At 47.1% G+C, this 22,094-nt stretch overlaps 1 protein-coding gene across 11 annotated transcripts in view, besides 2 other annotated features; it reads left to right on the top strand.

The window, feature by feature from the left end:
• The window catches only part of NAV2 (neuron navigator 2), a 776,366-nt gene that overhangs the window by 319,225 nt on the left and 435,047 nt on the right, over positions 1 to 22,094 (top strand). The gene's annotated exons all lie outside the window — the stretch shown is intronic.
• Positions 5,719 to 6,240: an enhancer, noted in NCBI's record as "NANOG-H3K4me1 hESC enhancer chr11:19691725-19692246 (GRCh37/hg19 assembly coordinates)". NCBI's record gives its function as "activates a minimal SCP1, AML or CMV promoter by ChIP-STARR-seq in primed H9 embryonic stem cells {active_cell/tissue: H9 hESC(primed)}" and the evidence as "EXISTENCE:reporter gene assay evidence [ECO:0000049][PMID:30033119]".
• Positions 13,509 to 13,678: an enhancer, noted in NCBI's record as "experimental_19830 CRE fragment used in MPRA reporter constructs". NCBI's record gives its function as "activates a minimal promoter by MPRAs in K562 erythroleukemia cells, with activity observed for the introgressed 11:19699600 variant allele {active_cell/tissue: K562}" and the evidence as "EXISTENCE:reporter gene assay evidence [ECO:0000049][PMID:34662402]".

Here is a 22,094-nt window from a genome sequence, read left to right on the forward strand (position 1 = left end):
CAGCAGAATATTAATGGAGAGGTCATGAGTCCAAGCTTAATTTAGAGCCATTTATGGGAGAAGCACCAAGCCAATATGGTGGTAACAGGATTGACTACAGACATGAGTTTCCCAGAAAAGGAATTGAGTCTTCCATCTATACAGCTTCCAGCAAGCCTTGTAAAGGGGTAGGTTATACAGCTCTGAATCTCAGTAGAAACTGAGAGTCAGATACCACCCAATTCTTGGGCCTCAGCCTACCTGCCTTTGACCCATTAGCTATACCTTGAGGGCTTTACAATACCAGGAAGCCTTTGCTATGGAGGAGAATGTTGAGTTCCACCTCCCAAATGAAGGAGAGGAAATGGAAGAACATGTATTGAACACCTACTATGTGTTTGCAATGTGCTAGACATATTTATATTCACTCTCGCATTCCATCCTCAGGGCAGGGTGTGAGAGAGAGGTTTAGCTATATCTGCTTCACAGAGGAAAAACCAAGAGCTCAGAGAAATTAAGTAACTTGCTCATGTCACACAGCTGATGGGTAAGTAGCAGACCTGGCATTCAGACCTAAGTCTTGTGAAACTCAAAAGCCAAGGATTTTATCACTTATGTCGCATTTCCTGTGGGGGTTGGAGAGGGAGAGGCAGTCCCAGGTTTGAGAGGCTGAGCTAAAGGGCTGGGCAGAGAGGGAGCCATTGCAGAGCCTGATGCCAAATCAAGAGAACAGAAACTGCCACTCAAATCCAAGAAGCAAGAGGCATGTCTGCAACCTCTGCAGGAACAGCAGCTTCAACTCTGTGGTTCCTGAAGCTCTCTAGGCTGCAGCCGACTGGCCAAGATCCTCTTTTACTCCCACAGTTCTCTGGACCAGTGCTCCTTTCAGGTCTGTGGAGCCGATGCTGTTTCTGAGGCAGCTGAGCTGAGAAGCAGATGGTGCATGGATGAGGGGGCGGTTGCCTGACATCCCTTCTGGAGCTCCTGACAGCTCATGAGCCTCTCCTCCTCCCCATGGCAGCTCTGCTCAGGAAGCTTAACCCAGGAAAAGACTTGTGGCTTATTTTTTCTAAGGAACTGGCTCTTCTGTAAAATGGGGATATTAATATTTTTCTGGAAGAGGTGTTGCTAGTATTAAACTCAATATATGTAAAAGCCCTAAGAGACTGTAGATGCTCAGCTGGGCATTACTATTATTATACCTTGATTTCAAAATAGACATTTGAGGACAAGCCTATCTCAAACTTCTCACCATCAGAAGTATTTATAATCTTCTCTTGGAAGAGCAGAAAAGCATGATTGGCTCAAGTTAATAGTGAAACATTTGGCACAGTGTTCTTATCACTCTTCTTATAAATAACTTTTTTAATCAACCAAAGTATAAGTAAATATGATACTTATGATTGATTACAACCATAATTGAAAGTTATTTCATTCTAGGATTATGAATCACAACATAATTTCAAAGAATGCAGAATCATCATCATCATCATCATCGTCATCATCATCATCATCGTCATCACTATCATTATCCCATTTTCATCACAACTACTTTCCATCCAGGCAATTGGACCTTTCACGTTATTAGTCTCATATCACCCACATGCCTGCAAGTAAGATATTATAAATCCCTTCTACAAGTAAAATAAAACTGAGCTTTCAAGAGGCTAAACAGCTATGCAAGTTCAAATAACAAAGAATCAGTGTAAGAATTTGAATCCGTTCTCTCTGACGTTAAAATCACGTGCTCTTCTCACTCTGTTCACCAGCTTTCAATATTTAATGTAGTTTCTTCACCGGCCAGACCAACCAGGATTCTGATTCAGTTGCTTTAGGGTGGGGCCCAACACATATAATGGAATCCAGATGCACATTCAGCAATATTTGGGATGGCATAGAAAGGTCACATTATGCCTTTGCAGAAACCAATCGTTCCTCCTGTCATCACAGTCCCTACCCAGCCAGGTGTTCTTGGTAACTCCTCCTCCAGCAGCCGTAGGCAGCAGAAAATAACCACCACTCAGTACTGCCATCATTGAGGGAGATCTGCGGTGGTGGCCTCAAGTGTGGGTGGCCTGAGCTCTGGATGTTTGCTTCTCCCCTGTAGCACAGTAGGCTCCCAGACAGATTGTGGAGCTTGGGGATGTCATGATGGGGGCTTGGTGGACACTGAGAGCTAAGGCTGAGATGATGCCCTTTCTCTGTCTTTGCCTCCTCCTTACTATACTTCTTTCAGTTTCTAGACTATGCTCAGGACCTTCATACATGTTGCCCTTGAATGTCCCTCTTGCTCATTCCGCCCCTTTACCTCCACCTCCACCTTCACGTTTATCTAGCTCAATGAGACTCCACCTGGCCTCTCATGATAGAATCACTTAAGGAGCTTTTAAAAATGCAGGTGTTTAGGTATCAACCCAGACTAACTGAATCAGAATTTCTGGGGGTAAGGCTCTGACACCACTATTTTTATATAATTCTCCAGGTTATTTCCACATGCAAACAGTTTGAAAACTGCTGATTCTAGTTAATTCCCACTTGATTTAAATGCCGCTTCCTCCAGAAGGCCCTCCCCAGCCTCCCTCCCACCATAATCCAACTACCCCAACCCCCAGACTAGACCCAGCCCCTCTCTGTATGTTCCCATTGTCAGTCTCCCCCAGGAAGCTGCTAGCTGTGTGGACATAGCAATACTGTCCCCATTGTCACTGGGTTCTCAGAGCCAGGGCCTTGCACAGAGGATGTGCTTGTTCTTATTTGCTGACTGACAGAATAAAGACAAACAGATTTGTAGACGTTGAACAATTATTCACTGGTGCCTGCTCTTTGCTAGATCCCGTTGTAGACTCTGGGGATTGAAAACTCAGTAAGGCATGGTCCTTGACCTTGAGATGCTCAGAGTCAGCAGGGAAGACAGACGTGGACAAATAATTACAATGTGTATCTGACTATGGGCACAGGTGGAAGGTTGGCAATTTCTTCAGTCCAATCCAGATGGCCAATACCTGTGGGTGTGCTTTGGGGGCACGAGGAGGTGAAGAAACAGAGTGAAGAGGAGGAGACAATTCAGTTGGTGTGTTGTGGGGCCCAGGGTTTGGACTGAGGTGTGCTGGAGGAGGAACCATTCTGGATCCCCTATGCCCAGCACAGGTCCTAGAACATAATAATAGGTGCTTATTAGGAGCTTGTTGAGTGAGTGAATGAATAAGTGATAGAATGAGACAAGTCAATGCATAATCTCTGAGGAACTGGAGAACTCACTGGGCTAGTATCAATGTGTATTTTATAGACTTCTTTGCTATGAGATTAGCTAGAAGCACACAGCTAGTAAAGCAGTGGTCCATGGGTTTTAGACCCAGAACAGTGTCATGGTTAAAACAACACATTTCAGAAGCCAAAAGGAATTTCAACATAACTCAAGTCCTTTATTTGTATTCCTCAAACACCATTAAAGGGACTTAAAACCCGCAGTTACACATCTCAAGGTGTTTGTTTCCTTGTGTTTTAGCACTCTCGTCCACTGCCCTTATACTTCTAAGGTCCCTTGCAGCCTGTCTTAGCTAAATCCCCCCAAACTCCCCCAGCCCAGACCCACAGGCCCATCCCACCTATTCTCTCCCTCTATTCCCAGGTCAAGAGGACGACACTGGCAGGACCCTCCTGGGAGCAGAGAGGACAGAGGAAGGAGAGAATCTGAGCAGGCAGAGCAGGGAGGGAAATGTTACAAAAGAGAACATTTTTTTGGTCCCATGACATATAAGATTTGCATTTCACATATGAAACATTGTCGCCATCAATTGCCTTAAAAAGTATCCCTAAGGCTGGGCATGGTGGCTTACGCCTGTAATCTCAGCACTTTGAGAGGCCAAGGCGGGTGGATCACCTGAGGTCAGGAGTTCAAGACCAGCCAACATGGCGAAACCTCACCTCTACTAAAAATACAAAAATCAGCCAGGCGTGGTGACTCACATCTGTAGTCCCAGCTACTTGGCAGGCTGAGGCACGAGAATCTCTTGAACCTGGGAGGTGGAAGTTGCAGTGAGCCGAATTCATGCCATTGCACTCTAGCCTGGGCAACAGAATGAGACTCGGTCTCAAAAAAAAAAAAAAAAAAAAAAAAGTAGCCCTACGTTCCATAGTCCAGTGATTTGAAGTGTGTTTGTAGCTCAGTGATGATCTTGCATCATCTCAATCCAGGGTGGGGCACACTTTTCCTGTCCCTCCTCATTCAGGCCCTTGACTCATCCTTTGTTTCAAGGCTAGGTTGAAGACAGGGACGCTGAGCCACCTCACCCTGGTGTCCAATCTGTGGCTGCTGAGAATTCACACTCTTTCACATCAGCTCATCTGCTTGCCAAATCAGAAGTAAGGCCCCAGGATCCCTGGCTCTCTCCCTTAGGGTATTAGTTAGCCTGCTGTCTAGGCAGAATGCAGGTAACAGACAATAATCTCCTATTTCATGCTTGTTGAGTGTTTCCCTATACATGACAGGCCTATGGGAGACAATTAGGAAACCTTGGATTTTCATCTCTTGTCCATTCTCTTGGGATGCCAGCAAAATGAAGGACAAGCAGACAGGTGAATGGGAAAATCCATGGCTGGACAAGTGACGGCCATTAGAGAGATGGTTAGCTCTAGCAGGGGCACTGGGCACAAAGAGACAGTGCAGCCAGCACCAAAGTTTTATTGAGCTATTCCTCAGTGCCAGAAGCTACACTGGGCCTTTCTGTATGAAAGGCCATTTAATTGCACAAGCTATCTGCAAGATGGGCTTCACTGCCCACTCCCCACAGGCTCCAGCCATGTTGGACACCTACATGCACTGTCACTCCAGTGTTCTCATCTACTCCATTTCATCTCACTGAATACTTTCCCATTCCAAAGCCTCAGATGGCCTTTCTCATTCCTTCCTTTCCTTCTTCACTGAGTCACTAAAAGTGGCTCTACCATGTACCTGCTATATGGGGTTGGGCAAGTGACTTACCCTCTCTGTGCTCAATTTTAACATCACTGAAGTGTGGATGACAATAGCACCTCTCTCATGGTCTGGGGATGATTAAATGAGTTGGGATGTGTAAAGCACAGTGCCTTGTGCACAGTATGCTCTGTTTAAGTGCTAACTGTATGGATTACCTACCAAAGGTTAGGCATTGGGTACCATGGAGCTCACAGCTCCCTCTCCTTCCACCGCCAGTGAGATCCTGCTTGCAATGAAGCTCAGCACTAGTGAGCCTTTGAGCCAGAAGCACCTGGCTGAGTGGTTTGAGCTTGGTAAGAGGGTCCTATCCAGTACCCTATCCAGTTCCCTTTCCTCTTAGTAAATTCCAAGTGCCTTTCAGTGCCCTTTTAAGGACAAGTGCCAATGAGTGAGACCCATTTGCCCATGGTGACCCATGGTGAGATGGGGCTCCTTCCTCCCTTGTCCTGGGTGATGCCCAGTGGGTCAGATTTTAAATCCCACTTGGGATCTAGATCTCAAGATTTTCTAAAATGTGAATATAATCATATGCCCTGCATACACACATCAACATACTCAGGAAAAAGCCCTAATGCTTTCAGTTTGCCACAAAGTCCCATGCGATCCAGCTCCTGCCTTCACTAACTCATGGACTCCGGCCTCTCCTTGTCATGCCCACCCTGCAAGCTATGATCCAGCCTCTCTGAGCCTCAGTCCCTCACATATGCCACGCACACTGTGTTGCCTCTACTAGCACACGCTGTTGCCTCTGCCTAGAACCTGCATACTCCTTGCCACTCACAGCAGTGACTCCCACCCATCCATGACATCTCTGCGTAGGCCTCAGATCCTTTAGCAAGACTTCCTTGATTCCCGGAGTCTGGGTTTGCTGCCTGCTCACCTAACTCTGATCTCCCCGGGCCATCACAGCCTTGTTGGATTTCCTAGGAACTCCACAAGGAAAAGGCCAAGCCACTCCTCCTCACTGCTGCATCTCCGGGGACTCCCGCTGAGTTTACAAACAGTACAGGCTCAACAGATACTTGCCAAGTGAAGTGTCTACCCTTGCAGTGCTCAGGGAACCCCGCGGAGAGGGGACAGTGCATGTTCTTTGGTCACATTCCAAGGAAAAGGCTGCAGCCACCCTGTGGCTCCTCATCTGAGGCTGCTGAGGGTGTCTGAAGTCCTCAGAGGACAGGCCAGGAGAAGAGGACTGCTGACCAAGCATCTCTCTGACTCACTGAGCAGAGGAGGGAGGAGGCGGGTGCTAATTGCTTGGTCCCTCCACACCCAAAGGAAGGCCCAGGCTTTGAAGCGGCAGCTGGGTCACATAGAAGGCAGAAGCAGCCAATTAGGTGATGCTGCAGCTTGCGGGCACCTCTGAGCCCACAGGAAATTATTAATAAAGACATAACAACCACGCAGCCCTTTGTGTGGATAAATAATGACACCCTGTCTTCCCCAGTGGCCTAGTCTAAGCACTCTGCAGCCACAATCTAGTTCATCCGGCCCCTTGGAATGCCAGCGCAGCTAAGGGAGGAGCTCCTTGGGTCCACCCAGCTCCCCAGCCCCTCTCCTCAAAGCCCCCGCTATGCCAAGAGTCTGGAGACTCCATCTAGTCTAAGGATGGCAAATGGTTACACCTCCGGGGTGCATGCTAAGTGCACAGAGCAGGCTGGAGCTTGGGCTGACAGGCATTTTGAAGCTACATCTGAGCCTATCATAAAAGAAGATGGTGATCAATTAGCACTGGTTGCCATGTATCTCTGATCTAGTTCTTGAGATTTCCCTAGTTTTGTACTGTTTGCTCTTGTTCTTGTCTCACCAACTACTGGTTTGTGCTTTAAAAAACTTATGACATTTAGCAATCCCAAGCACACAAGCACACAGTATCCCTCCATAATTTATGGCGTGATTTCTTAGGTTATCGGCTTCTTTACACAGAGCTTCTTATTTCATGTAGTTTTTATGTCCTGTCCTTCAGCTAGGAATATGTCTTGTTGATGGTGACTCTGAAAACCCTACTGGCCCTTTGATCTCAGCTTGCTCTGTGGAGTCTCTCTGAGTGCTCCCTGCTCCCACCACAGGTTGGCATGATGTGCTCCCTCCCCTGTTTCTCGTGGTTCCTGTCTTTCTCCTGCATCCAGCGAAGCTCCTTGTTGTCAGACTGAACCCCACTTGTCCCCTTAGCTCCTCTGCCCCACCTGTTTCCTGCACAAGACTGAGTTTCAACAGTTTAGAGCAGGGGTTGGCAAATTGTTTCCATAAAGGGCAAGATCATAAATGTTTCAGGCTTTGCACGGCCGTGTACTGTCTCTGTTGCATATTCTTGTTTTTGCTTTATTTGTTTGCAACCCTTTAAAAATGTAAAAACCATTCTTAGCTCAGGGGCCAGACGAAAACAGGCCAAGGGCCAGATCTGACCCATGGGCTGTAATTTGCCACCTCCTGGTTTAGGTAAACAAACCTTTAGGAGCTCCTCCTGCATGCTTAGCACTGGTCTACATGTGGGGAATTCAAAGATGTGTAAAGCTTGATTCATGTCCGCAGAAAATGCCCTGTCTAGAGGGAGAGACATTCACAGACAGGCCATTACAATAGTGATGGGTGCCACCAAGCGCTGTGGGAATGTAGACTTCTTGGGGAAGATTTCCGAGTTGAGTAAGAATGAGAAATGAGAAGGAAGAAAGGAGGAATGAGATTAGGCTGAGGGAACAGCAAGCCAGGGGATGGAGCAGGGACCAGCACTACATCTCCTGGGAACTCTGAGTGGAGTTGCCGAGCATGCTTCCAGGCACATAGCAAAGTGCAGTGCACAGTCTCACCAAGTCCCCAGCCCAACACCAGGTCCTGAGTCCATGCTCAAGAAATATTTGGGATTTGTGTGGTTGTTTAACTTTTCTCCATTTTTTTATTCTTATAAAGTTGCAGAGCCTGAATGTGCATTCAACCCTTAGCAGTGAGGGAGATCTACATGGGTATCGCTGCTGGTCAAAGTGGCATTGTGATTCATTTTTCCTCAGCTTGGGTTCTATTCCTGGCTCTGCCACCAACTGACCTTGGTTGAGTAAGTTATTCTATTTCTCCAAGTGTTAATTTTCCACCCATAAAGGGGGTATCATGATAGGATCTTCCTCTTGGGGGTATCCTCAGGAGCCAGTGAGCCCCTGTAAATGCTCTGCAAATGGTGGCCAATGGGACTTCTTTCTCATCTGCTTGACCCAAGGGATGGAGGGCAGGAGGGATATGCTGAGGGTAATTGACACAGAACCAGCAGCAGAGAGAGGACATGGGGAAGGAGCCTAAGAGATGACGCAAGCTGGCACCTCCCACACCAACCAGCTCAGGCTCAGGATAGGCCCATGGGCAGGTTGAGTGCCCTCTGTGTCAGAAACAGTGGGAATCAGGGGTCAGGGAACCATGCAGCTACTAGCTAGCAGCTTATGGTACCTTCTAAGCCAGAGGATTTAGGTCTTAAGGAGGCAGGCAGAGGAACAGGGAAGAGTTCCCATGGGGCAGAATATAGATTTGTAAGTGTTTGTGTGTTTGTTTGCTCCTGGCCTCTCTTCAAAAGGAATTTGAGACAGGTTGTAACAAGTTACATGGATACAACATGGTTGATATAATAGAAAGGAAAAGAAATAGCCATTGCCCAAGAGCTATATTAAACATTGAATTTGGCTCTGAACCTCTGAGCAGCCTAGGCAAGGGAGGGAAAGAAAAGAGAAAAAGACTAATACTTAGCATATGCTGAGGACCATTACCATGGAAGGAATTTCCACACGCAACCCTGTAATGATACTTATTACTATCTCCATTTATAGAACCAGGATGCTAGAGATGCTACATTGAGTTTTATGAATATATTCAGATATGTCTGTGTTTTTTGAGCATCTGCTATATGCCAGGCACTGTGCTGGGTGCCTTATGCACAGAATTTTAATTCTTCTACCAATCTTAAGAAATAAATCCTATTATTATCATCATTTGACAGATGAGGAAACAAATGAAGAACAGAAAGGTGAAGTTATTTTCTTAAGGTCAAACAGCCAGCTTGTGCCCAAGCCAAAATTCAAACCCAGAGAAGTTTGATTCCAAACCTCTCCTCTCACCACCCTGTGAGCACAGCTTCTCTGATAACAAGTTTCCTTGGCACTATACTCTACAATAATTTTCTCAAATTGAGGTGTTAATTGGGGAGGAACAGAAGACATTAAGTGGCACATTAGTCAGTTTTATAAGAATCCTGGCAATGATTTTAAATAGAGGGCTGAAATTTTGTGTGCCTTGTCTTCTGGTTTTGTTTAAACACCACAAGCACCAAAGCTTGCAACTTTCTGCTCTCGGGGCCTGTTCCCTCCCTTCCATGATGGGTTAAATCTAGGCACAGTAGTGAATGTGAGCAACCAGGGCTCAGGGGCAGGGTCCCAGGATCCTTTCAGGCCAGGGTGAGCAAGCCCTATTAGAAACAACAGACCCAAGATGACTTGAATTTCCCACCTGCCCTTCCTTTTCCTGCCCCTTCTCCATGCTGTGTTTTTATGACACTTCAGTGTGCTGCTTCTTGGGGCCAGGCGCCTCCTCCAAGCTGAGCCAGCCTTTTATGGCCATGGAGCTAATTAAGTAACAGCAACTCAGGGGCGCTTGGAAAGCAGCGTGGGCCGTCGTCAGTCCTGGGCTGTGCAGCCAAGTGCCTCTGGCCTGGGTTGTGGAAGGAGCTTTTGGCTAAGCATCAGGCTATTCCTCTGCGCTCTCTCCTGCTGGCCCCAACTCACCTTCTCTGTTACCTCTGCATCAGGAACTCTTGAAGCCGCCGTCTCCCTGAGCTGCCTGGAAACTTCCCGAGACTGGCCTGAGAATAACTGTGCCCCAATTATTATTTTATTTCCACTCCAGGGTACTTATTTACACAAGAGGGACGGGAGGGCGCGCTCTCAAAAGGAGAGCAAGTCCTTCTGGGTGCCAGCCTTTGGGCCAGAGGGCCACTCTTGACAGGCAGGAATGACTGCAGCTCCCAAGTAGCAATTTTTTTTCAATGGAAGGTTATAAGCAACGAGCCCCAAAGGTCAAATTCCCCAAGGGAAAAAAGGGTATATGCCTCTGCTTTCTTCTCCCAGTTTTGCAGTGAGCAGTTTGTTCTCAAGTGTTGTCACGGGCCAGGCTTACCTCCTTCAAACAAAAGGTGGGGGCAAACCCAGAAAGGAATCTCAATGGCTATGTGTTAACAGCTTCAAGTTTCTGTGAGTGAGATCACCTAGAGAGCAGGTTTTCCTGAGCCTCAGGCTTCCTGGGCACTTCTCTGCCTGGAACATAAGGTTTTCCACCTCAGCCTCCACCCACAAGATACTTCCCTCCTTCAGACTTCATAACTTCTTTCCTGGCCTCTTGTTTGACCTCTGAAATGTACTCCCTGTCCACAGTAAGAGGCAGTAGCTATTAGGAGGGCAAAGGGCCACCTCCCTGGGTTCAAATCTAACACAGAATTTAGCTAAGCCTTGGTTTCCTCCTCTGCAAAATGGGGAAATAGTTGCACCACTTTATGGAGTTTGGGTGAGAATCAAAGTAGGAAATCCATGCAAAGAGCTCAGTAAGGTGCCTAGCAGAGATCAAGAGCCTGAGTGCTTCTAATCCGTCCCCCTCAGGACCTCCAGAGACCTCATGGCCACATCCTTCATGCACACCGCAGCTTCCTCCTCTTGCCTCAGCAGAGAGAAACCTCCAGGATCCTTAGCATGGTAAAAAAGGCCCTGTTCAACTTGGTCCCAACCTTTATTTCCATTCCATCTCTCATTCAACTCACCTCTCTAGCTCTCCCTGACTCTACGCCATGGATGTACACTTAAACTTTAATCATATGTTTCAAAAATGCCCTGGAGTCTTTGTAGGTATTATTCCTTTTTCCCAGTCTGCCCTCCCTCACTTATTTGATAAACTCCCAGTTATTTTTTAAGGCTTAACTTAAGGGCTCCCTTCTCAGAGAAGCCTTTCCTGCCCACCAGGACACATACACGCATGCTCACACACGCATGCATACACTCCCTGTAAAGAGTAGACACCCACTGCCTGTGTCCAACTATATGAGGCATCAGTCTGTAGTTGCTTTTCTGTCTCCTTCACTGTCTGTGAGCTCCTGGAGAGCAGGGAGCATGTCATATGCCTCCTGGCACAGGACATAGCAAATAGGTGTTCAATAAATACCTGTGGAATGAATGCTTGCATCACTGACTGAGAAATGTGTGGTAGGAAGCTTCCTTCTATGCGCCAATAAATCAGGGCTGCTTTGTACAGTGTGTGAGCTGTGGAGTGTACCAACCTGCATGGCCAGTCCCGGGGCCCAAATGTGTTTTAGCTCTACTCCCTCAACTGAGTTAGCCTCAGAGTTGCTCAAGTCCCCTCGAAACTAATTGATATTTGTACAGCAATTGGTAATTCACGAGTTTTCACAACAGTATAATTAATAATAATATCAATCGCAAGAATGTTAACATTTTCTGAGTGCTTACTCTGTACCATGCATTTGATGTATATTATTTCAATTAATCCTTACAACAACCCTAAGGGCAGATATGATTGTTATACCCATTTTACAGATGTGGGAGGCTCTGGCTGGGAGTGAGGAAGGTGACCTTCACACTAAGGCCCTTTGGTGCCAAGTCCTGTGCCCCTTCTACCCACCCTGAGAGCCTTGTTCTGGCACATCAGAAGGCATCAGTCTTCATTCCTCAGCTGTTTGATTTCTCTCATTTAGCTTCTTCCCTGTCCCTTCCTCCTCGATCCCCCTCCCTGCTCCAGTCTGGCCTCATAATAAGAATATTTTAGGTTGCAAGATCTCTTGGCTCCCACCACATATATTTGAAAAGGAGCATGCACTGCAGTGTGGAGATCTTGGGTTCATAACTGGCTCTCCCACCTTCCAGCTGTGTGTCTGTGAGCAAGAGTCTTAGTTCCTCTGTGCTTCCATATTCTCATTTGCAAAATGAAGATAATACTACCAATCCTAGTGATTCACTTTGAGTATTTACAACCTAGCACAATGCTTGGTGCATGGTAAATATTGAAGTCAGTGTTTCCCTCCTTACCTCTCCCTGAAAAAAAAAAAATTTTTAGAAAGCAATTTCTGTGGCATTACGCTCAAGGAAACCATAGCAACCAGTTTCCTGTAGCTTGGTTTCCGGCCTTCCCTAGCTGTACAATAGTGCTGGGACACAGCCTTTGTTATTCCGATACCCCAGGGAAGATGTGGACGTCATGCACTCTATGGGGTGGAGGCATCTGCTGGGTAGAATTGCCCAGTGTGCTGGTGGTGTCATTGCTGTTGGCACTTTGGCTCTCAGAGAACCAGGCTGTCCCAGGCCTGGGTTAGGCCACGAGGATGCTGTGGTTTCCCACTGGCGACTCAATTCATCTTCTAAGGGTTGCCTTATTGTGGGTCAGGCCAGAGCAGCTGGCCCTCTCTTTTTACGGGGATAAAAGTAGCATTTGGTTGGGTCTGGAGAGCTTCCTGACTCTCCTTAGATCGTTAAGACATTTCCTAGGATGTGACAGTCACAAGAGTACCATGTGATTGTGTGTGCATGTGTGAGTTTGTGGGCGCCTGTTAACCACACCAAGAGTGAAGGCACGGCCTCTCAAGGAAAGAATCAAGACTGCCAGCCACAGAAAAAGGCTATCAACTTGGCCTTGTGAAGTGGAGAACTCCTTGTCCCTACAGGCCTCTGGGGCAAGCTGCAGTCGGGTCCAGACCATGGTGATACTAACCCCAGCCTGTACTGCCACTTGGCACCCTGCACAAAGAGTCTCCCCATATGCCTGGCGTAATCCAACCTGGATTGCTGCAGTCTGGCTGCAGAGTGATTTCCAGGCAAGCCATTTGGGCAAGAGCAACTTGACTGCATCACGAAGCATGACTGAATTTTGGCCGAGCCCAGGGTGACAGCTTGCAGAGGTCCCTGGCTGCGGGAAGAAAGGCAGTGAGGTGGGCAAAGGCAGCACCTGGCCATGGTCTGGGTGCCTCCCAAGCCCAGTGTGTCCTACTCGGCTTGTGATCAGGGCTTGATAATCAATGCATCCCCTCATTTTACAGAGGAGGAGACTGAGGCCCAGAGAGGGTCGGGCCTTGCCCAAAGTCACACAGCTTGTCAGTCATAGACTTATTGCATTTTCAAGACAGAATGACTCCTAAAAATTATCTGTCCCAAACTCCTCAATTGATAAATGACAAAAATTAGGTTCAGGGAAGGAAAGGAGCATTTTCAGGGTTACAGAGAAGCAGAGAAGACTCACAGCCCTGACTGAGTGATTTTGTGATTGATCTACAGAGGCCAGCAAACTATGGCCCCCAGGCCAAATCAGCTGGCCACGTTTTTGTAAATACGGTTTTATTGGAACACAGTCATGACCATTCGTTTCTGTATTGTCCATGACTGCCTTCATGCTACAAGGGCAAGATTGAGTGGTTGCAACAAAGACCATATGGCCTGCAAAGCCTAAAATATTTACTATCTGGCCTTTTATAGAAAAAGTTTGCCAACCCCTGGTCTAACCCACTGAGGTTTTTCCAAACGCCTGGAAACTGCTGGCCACAATCCCAGTATCCTTCTCCTTTGAGGAGAAGAGAATCCATCCCTATTGTCAGGTTGGGGACTGGCCAGAGACCCCTCTCCAGAGGGAGAGGCTGCGCCGCAGGAATAGGAGCGAGGGGATGCTGACCAAGAAGAAAGCCTCCTTCAGAGGGGAGTTGAGTCCCAACTTGCACTTGGAGAGCGCCCAAGATAATAAGGATGATAAGAAGAAAACCAATTGCTAACTTTTGTGATTGTGTGCCAGGTTCTGTTCTAAGCTCCTTTTTTGTAGGATTGAACCTTCACAACAGCCTAGCACAATGGGTACAATTAGTATTCTCGTTTTGTACATGAGAAATGAAACGTAGAAAGATTAAATAACTTGCCTAGCCTAGTCAGTGGTGGGACCAGAATAGGAGTCCAGGCATGCTTACTCCGGAGCCCATGCCTGTCATCTCGCTGCAGGATCTGGATGAAATGGGTGTCTCACCTGCACTGGGAGGGGTCAAGAGCTTAACCCTGTAACTTTCCTCCTTTCTCTTTTCATCAACTGTTTAGTGACTGCCTGTTGTGCGCAAGTCACAGTAGAGCTGTGCTAGGCTCTGTGATGGGAGAGCAAGAAACATCACATATAGAACCCGCGTCTGAGGAGCCCGCAGATGGGAAGGCAGCAGCTGTGTGATCAATTGCTATCTAGGGTAGAAATTGGCAGTGTCGAAAGAGAAGCATGGGGAAAATGCCAGGTGAATCAAGGGGCATCATCTTCCGAGATACCACATAGCCATTCAAATGTTGAGCATCAGGGGCTCAAAATGCTAATGCCCGGATTGGCCAGGCAGCTGATGTGAACAGAGAAGCAGATCTTATTTGTGTAAGACAGCGAGGAGAGGTGGGGCCTGTGGAGAATGGATGAGTACATTCCCCAGTGCTAGGTGTTCAAATTCAGAATTTCCCACCACCTCCACGAGCTAAACCGACCTCTCTCAGGCCAGATCAGCTGTGGCATCTGTTATGTTGACTAATATTTATCAACATAGAAAGATTTCCTATGTTGTTAAATGTGAAAAGCAAATTACAAAGCGGTCAGATTAACATGTTTTGGGTTTTTAAAAATGTATATGTCTCCACACATAGAGCTATATGGAGAAAAGGCTGAGAGGAATTAGTCCAAAATTTTAACAAGATTTTGAGGCTGGCTGGGTGCAGCGGCTCACGCCTGTAATCCAAACACTTTGGGAGGCTGAGGCGGGTGGATCACCTGACGTCAGGAGTTCGAGAGCAGCCTGGCCAATATGGTGAAACCCTATCTCTACTAAAAATACAAAATTTATCTGGACGTGGTGGCACATGCCTGTAGTCTCAGCTACTCTGGAGGCTGAGGCAGGAGAATCACTTGAACCTGGGAGACGGAGGTTGCAGTGAACCGAGATTGTGCCACTGCACTCCAGCCTGGGCAACAGAACGAGACTCTGTCTCAAAAAAACACAAAAAGATTTGGGGGCTATTATTTTGCCCCTCTGTTTTTTCTTCATTTCCTTCCCCTTTGGTACAATAAACTCACAGTACCTGCCTCAGCTTTTGTTTCTGTTTTTGTTTAGAAGAGAGAGATGATTCTATATCCTTCCCCTCTCTACCCCACCATCTCTTGACTCATTCCTACTCTTCAAGATTCATCTCAAACATCACGTCCTTTAGGGAACCCTGGTTCCTAGGGTGGTTTGGGACACCCCGGCTGTGTTCTGTGCTCCCCACATCACAGCCCTTCCTTTTTGGCGGTTCTTGTTGTGACCTGTGTACTCCTGTACCTGGTACTGAAACAAACACTAGGTATGAGCTTCCTGAGGGCAGGGACTGTGTCTAAGCTATCTTTGGATTTCCAGTATCTAACATAGAACTTAACACATAATGTGTGCTCCTTAAATACCTGAGGAATGAGGGGCTGAATTTAGTGCTGAAGGCAAGAGGAAGGGCCCCTGGAGGGGAGCCCTACCTATTGGGCACAAGAGAGGCCAGGAGGGTTGGGGGCCAAGGCACCTGGAGTGAGGGGCAAAGACAGGACATCCTGGGCACAGTGGGCCATCCCATTTGGCTGGAGGGTGGGGTTCTTGAATGAGAATAGAGAGAAATCAGATTGGAAAAGAGGAGGGCTCCAGAAAGGGGGCTGGAACATCAGGCTTGGGGGTTTGGATGTTATTCCAGCACCCAGGACAAGCCTGCCTCCTCACAAAAGATAGCTCTGGCCCCAGCACATCATTCTTTTCATCCCCCACCCCCCTCTTTAGAGCGTTTTCCTGCCTTTTTGGCACCGAATGCAGTGCTGGCTTCTGTCCTGAGCAGCGTGATCTGCTGCCCATGAGTCAGGGGCTCGGCCATTCCTAAGTGACTAAGGCTGTCGCCTCCCGCCAGTTTCCCGTAACCGCCTGAGTAAAGACTCAGTCTGAATCACTGTTTATTGTTTTTAAGGGTTTTTTTCCCCTCCTCTCCAGTTTTTAAATATCAACCACCCAGCCAGGCCAGTAGGGCTGAATGAGTGCTGGGGAACTGTAGGACACACCCCTCACCCGCACACACAGGAGGGATGCGGAACCCCATTCTGCTTAGGGAAGCAAGGAGGCTGTGGCTATGGAGCCAGACAGACCTGCATTTGAATCCTGCCTCTACCCCTACCTGCTGTGCCCCTTTGGGAAAATCACTTCACCTATCTGAACCTTAGTTTCCTTATCTGCAAAATGGGGATAATAATGCCTATATAAGAGGGTTCCTGTGAGAATGAGAGCTAAAATTTATAAAGGAACTGGCATATGGCAAGCATTCCAGAAGTGGTAATTATTATAAAACACGGCTCTTCTGCTCAGGAATGAGCTCACGTGAGAGAACGGTAGGGGTCTCATGCCTTCTTTGCACCTGTCATTTCAGTAAAGCCAAACAATCAAGGGCTTCCAAAGCCCATGCTTTAGGAATTTATTTCAGACTACTGATGAATCACTTAGTTCTATTATGAATAGCCAACATTTTTGCAGCACTTAGCGGGTGCCAGGCACTGTTCTAAGCATTTTACATTAAGTAATTAATTTAATCATCACAAACCCCTTTGGGGTAGGTATTATCATTATCCCCACTTACAGATAGAGACAGAAACTGAGGTGCAGAATTTAACTAACTTACTAATGAGAGACAGAGCCAGGGGTTGAACTGAAATGATCTAGCTTCTGGGGACAAGGTCATGCCTGGCAGTGAGATTCTCTCAGGGACGTCCCCTGACCTGGCAGTCCTTCTTCATATGTTTTGTCCTAACTGGATCATTATCAAATAATGACAATGTGCCAGGCATTGAAGTATCATCAATTTTCAATTTAATTTCACCGCAGTTATAAAAGATAGATTTGCTTGTCCTTATTTTATATATAGGGAAGTTGAAGTTTTGAATGGTGAGGAAACACCCAAAGTCAGTTAGTGATAGAGTTAGCGTTTGAACCCAGGTCTCTCTGCAATTTGGGGGTAATTGCACCACTCTGTGTGAAATGGCTAGCTGAGTTGAGATCAGGTTTATCTTCTAGAAGCCTATCGATTTAATTATTTGGCATTAATGGCCCACTGGTCTGCCTAAGTCCCTCTAAAGAGGTGACCAGTCTGATGGGATTTAGCAATAGGTTTGCCCCTTGGGATGAGCCCTTGGTCCTCCACACCAATAGCCTGCAGTTCTGGGAGGATCTGGCCAGCCTTTGGCAAGTCTGGGATTGGAGTACAGGAAATCTCTCTATACAGAACATGTATTCAGTGTCCAGAAACTCTCACCAATGCATAGTAAGCATGTCCTCCAGACCAGGTAGCTAGGAAGCCACTGTGGGAATCCACTGAGACCTGTGGACACATCTGAATGGAATTCCTGTGGGATGTACGTGTCAGGTGTCTGGCAGCCTCAGGAGGCTGCGTGGTGGTTTCATATAGAAATTAGGACACCTCCACCTGAGAAAATACATCTAGCAGGGAATAGATAGATGTCCACAATATCAAGATAGCTTGTGTTAGTCACATGATCTGATCAAGCAGCTGAGAGAGAGCAAGCCACAGAGTGGACTTCACTCTGCAGGGTTCCAGGGCTGCCCACTACCACCAGAGCATCAGGCACAGCACCTGGACTCACTCCCCTAGACAGCACCTTACCCACATACAACATACTCACCCCATGGTACACCCTACACATTGCTCTGTTGACTTATGTAGATTGAGGAGTGGGAATCTGGAGAGGGAGGAAAGAAAGAAAGAAAGAAGGGGCTGGTGATAATACCATGCTAATAATAATTGCTTCCACATGCTTGGTATGTGCTAAGAACTGTGCTAAACTTTTTACACACATGCCTTATCTCATAATCCAATTGTTATCCTACTTAACAGATGAGGACACTGAGCCTTAGAGAAGTTCGTAAACTGCCCAGAAAGGAAATGTGTACTGTGGAAATGAGCACTGCGGTCAATGTGCCAAGCACATTGTGAAGTGCTTTATATACATAGCCCCATTAACCTCTGCGAGGACCTGGGAGGCTGGTATTGTGTCAGTCCATTTGTGTCGCTATAAAGAAATACCTGAGGCTGGGTAATTCATAAAGAAAAGAGGTTTAATTGGCTCATGATTCTGAAGGCTATACAAGCATGGCACCAGCATCTGCTTTTGGCGAGGGCCTCAGGAAGCTTACAATGATAGCAGAAGGGATGGGGGGCTACATATTACATGTGAGAGAGGGAGCATGACAGAGAGGGCAGAGATGCCACACACTCTTTTAAATAAGCAGATCTTGCATGAACTGAGTGAGAACACACTATCAGGAGTATGACGCTAAGCCGTTCATGAGGGATCTGCCCCCATGACCAAACACCTCCCACCAGGCCCCATCTCCAACACTCATTCCAATATGAGATTTGGAGAGGACAAACATCCAAAACATATCATATTCATTTTGCCCATTTTTCAGATGAAAACAGTGAGGTTCAGAGAAGTGAAGCATTTTCCAAGGTTGCAGAACTAGGATGAGGGAGGACTAGATTCAAACCTTTGTTAATCTGTGGATTGTCAACTGTGCCACCCTGGTTCTGGCTAGAAGTTAGAAGATCTGGGTTTCAGTGACTGCTTTGGTTCATATAGATAAAATGGGGGTATTTGTATTAAATGATCCTTAAATTTCCTTGTAGTGCTAATATTTTGTGTTTCTCTGAGGAAGGAAGAGTAGCCGGGAGTTTGGGAAGTCATCAGTGGCCTTCTTCTGGGACACATGTAAGCCTGTTTGAATGGGGAGGGCCAAGGAGAGAGAGTAGTTTTTCATTTCCTCTAAACGGAATGTCAGGGGTTGCGGGGTGTAACAGAAAGCCTCATGGCAGCAGCTTAGGAAGGCGGGGTCAGTGATGTGTTTTCTTAAAAGAGAAAAGGTTGAGTTGGGTCACCTTCTTTTTTAGCTGCTTGTGTCCTAGCAAGGACTGAATTTTTATGGGTCATAATTTGGTACAGATAAAAACATATTGTACTGAGCTCAGCCAAATCCCCTATGCTGGCATTACTGGTAGAGTTCTCAGCCAGCTGACTGGGCCCATCCAAGAGGCCTGTGGGGAGAAGAGTCAGGCAAGGCCTGGATGTTCTCTTGGAGCACCTTGGCAAGGATTTGGATAGCACTGTGGTCCCCACTGCCTGCCTCAGTAGAGCAGAGCTGTGCAGGGCATCCAGAAAGGCTGGGCTTCCAGTCGGGTCTGTGTGAGTTGGCTCTGCCCCTTTCTGGCTGAGTGACCAGGACATGAGCAAGTCATTCAGCCCCTGGGGTTGCAAACTTTACTCCACAAACCAGCACAAGGACAAGGCCACATTTCACCAACGCCCAGAGGAGGGAGAAAACTCAGGATATTAAATTGTATCTTCAACAATATAATTTTATTAAGTTTTAAAAAATGACCTTTATTCTGATTAAATTGTCTGCCACAATTGTTTGCATTAAAATATCTTTTCTTTTGCCAAAATGGGACGATAAGTTTAGATGTAGCATTTTTTAATTTTTAAAATTTCCTTACTAAGATAATTGAGGTGAACAATCCATGTACACTCCCCCAATTGTTTTAACTTGATTGCGAAATCCAAAAACTGGAAATCACTGATAGAGCTTCTCTGAAAATTAGTTTCTTCATCTGTGAAGTGGGGATAATTAGCTCCATTTTCTTCAAAGGGTATTGTGTTGGAAAAAATGAGGTAATATATAAAATGTCTGTTCCTGAACTCAATTTAAATAGAATTATACTTCCTTTTCATGCCAACTGTTATATCCTAGGTCTACATGCTGGACTTCAGCCCTTGTCACAATGTCCTCCCATCATTTCTGGGAGCTTTCCCAGGGTATTGACTCATGTGTCAATGCCCAGCAGGAGGTATCTGCCCTGCTGGCACAGTTGTCACCACTGGGGGCTGTCTCTGAGACCCCAGTGATGAAGGTGAAGCTCTTGATTTGATCTAAAGGTCATTCTTGGTGGCCCACAACTCTCAGAAGAGGGGCAGCTGCTCAGATATACCCCTTAGTCTGGAGCACCCAAGCACTACCTAAATGCTGATTATCACCAAACTTGGTGCTTTTTGAGCTGCTACTGCCTCCACCATGGTAAATAGTGGAGGCCAAGCTCCTCTCCAAGGGCACGGCCAAGGGCACTCACCCACTTCCAGATCACTCAAGGCCCCCCCACACTGCAAGCCCAGTGCCAACCCCACAGACACCAGAGTGAGGAATATATTTCTCCCTCATCCAGTCCTGAGTCTCATCATATTTCCAGCCCTTCCGGGATGATTGACTATGGGAATACCCATTCTCTTCAAGGGTAGAGTTCTTCTCACCCATCCTTCAAGAGTGCTCACATCCCTATGGGCTCAAGAGCCCTTGGTTGGCACATTGCCCAAAGTTGGGTCATTATAACCCATGGCCTCTCAGTACAGTGCCTGGCACATTGTAGGTGCTCAGTGAGTGCTGATTTCCCATCCAAGTCCCTCACTCCATAAAAGCACATGGTCAGGCAGGGCTAGGACCTGGAAATCCTTCCCTCATTCTAGCTGTAGTTAATATGGGTTTGGGGCAGGATGAGAGCAAGACCCAAATGCTGACATCAGTCCTGACCCTCAGAGGAGGCCCTACCATGATCCCACCCTGGGCCAGCCTCCAGCGAATCCCAGACCTTCCCTCAGAAGGCCCCACAGACTGCTTAGCTAGGCATGTTTGGGTGGTTTGTCCTGCCCTCTCAGTTCAGAAGCTCTGCCATCTGCTTTTAAATCACCTTAATTTCCAGCCAAATGGGAGTTTTCCTCTCATTTCAAAATGCCCATGATATCATCCATCAGTGGGGAGCAGTTGAAGAAGAAGCCTCGAAGACTTCCAGACCCCAGCAGTAGGGGTGGGGAAAGCAGGTTTCAAGCAGCCCTTACTAGAATCAGGCCCTGTGACCACACCCCCTTCCCAATATCTACTTGAGCAGGCCTGCAGGTATGGCCGGGCTGAGGAGTCAAGCTCTGCGGGCTCCAAGATAATGTTAAGGAAGAGGAGGAAGGGTAACAGATCCAGGGTTCCCATGCACTTAAATTCCTTCATTCTGCAAAGATGAATTTAGTGCTCATTAAGAGTATCAGTTTATTTGGGGTTGAAAGATTTTCACACAAACTAGTGAAACAGCCGTATGATGATTGCAAGTGCAACAGGAATTGCAGCTGAAGACTTGGAAACTGGATCTAGCTCTGACTCTTTTTAAGTTGATGAGTGATATTGGGTAAACCTCCCTCCCTCTCTAATCTTCCATTTATCTTTCTGATAAATGAAGGTGCACCAGTCTCAGAGGGCCCCTGTTGCTCTGGTCCTGGGAATGGTGTGAGGTTTCAGGAGCCTCCCACGCTCTGCACCAAGAGGTGCTTTTGGACTTAGACTGACTCTCAGGGCTCAGGTATTTTCTAAAAGGCAAATCTCATCATGTGACTTTCCAACTTAAAACTCTCCAGAGGCTTCTCACATCTCATAAAGTCCAGAATTCTCAGCATGCTCAGGAGATCTTGCATGCTCACACTCACCTCTTCTCACACTGCTCCCCCAGCTCCCTAGTACAAGCCTATTCTCCAGGTCCCCATGTTCATGTCCTAACCCACCCCAGGGCCTCCTCCTTGGCTCCTCTCTGCCCCCTTCACTTCATTTAGGTGGCTCCTACTCAGCCTTCTAGTCCCTATGGTGACATCGCTGCCTCCACGACCATGTCACTTGCTTCATACCACAGATAGTTGGGTCCCCTGTGATATGTTCCCTTGCTTTTCCTTTGAGTAACCTGTCTCTCAGAATCAACCTTCTCCATCCCTCCCCCTCCCAGACTGGGAGCTCCAGGAAGGTGGGATCCTTCTTATTTCCCAGTTGTCCCCAACACTGGGCCTGACCACAAAGCAGGTACTCTGTGTTTACTAAACAAGAGTCTCATGTTTCCCTCAATCCGCCCATTGTGTGGTCTCAGGGTGGCTCACAGGGAGGTACTCCAGGTCATAGGGGTTGCCTGTTCATTTCTCCTCAACCTGGGGATTCACCTTATCAGATGAATGACACTGCATTCAT

The sequence above is a fragment of the Homo sapiens genome, chromosome 11 (assembly GCF_000001405.40).
Source record: "Homo sapiens chromosome 11, GRCh38.p14 Primary Assembly".
Lineage (NCBI taxonomy): Eukaryota > Metazoa > Chordata > Mammalia > Primates > Hominidae > Homo > Homo sapiens.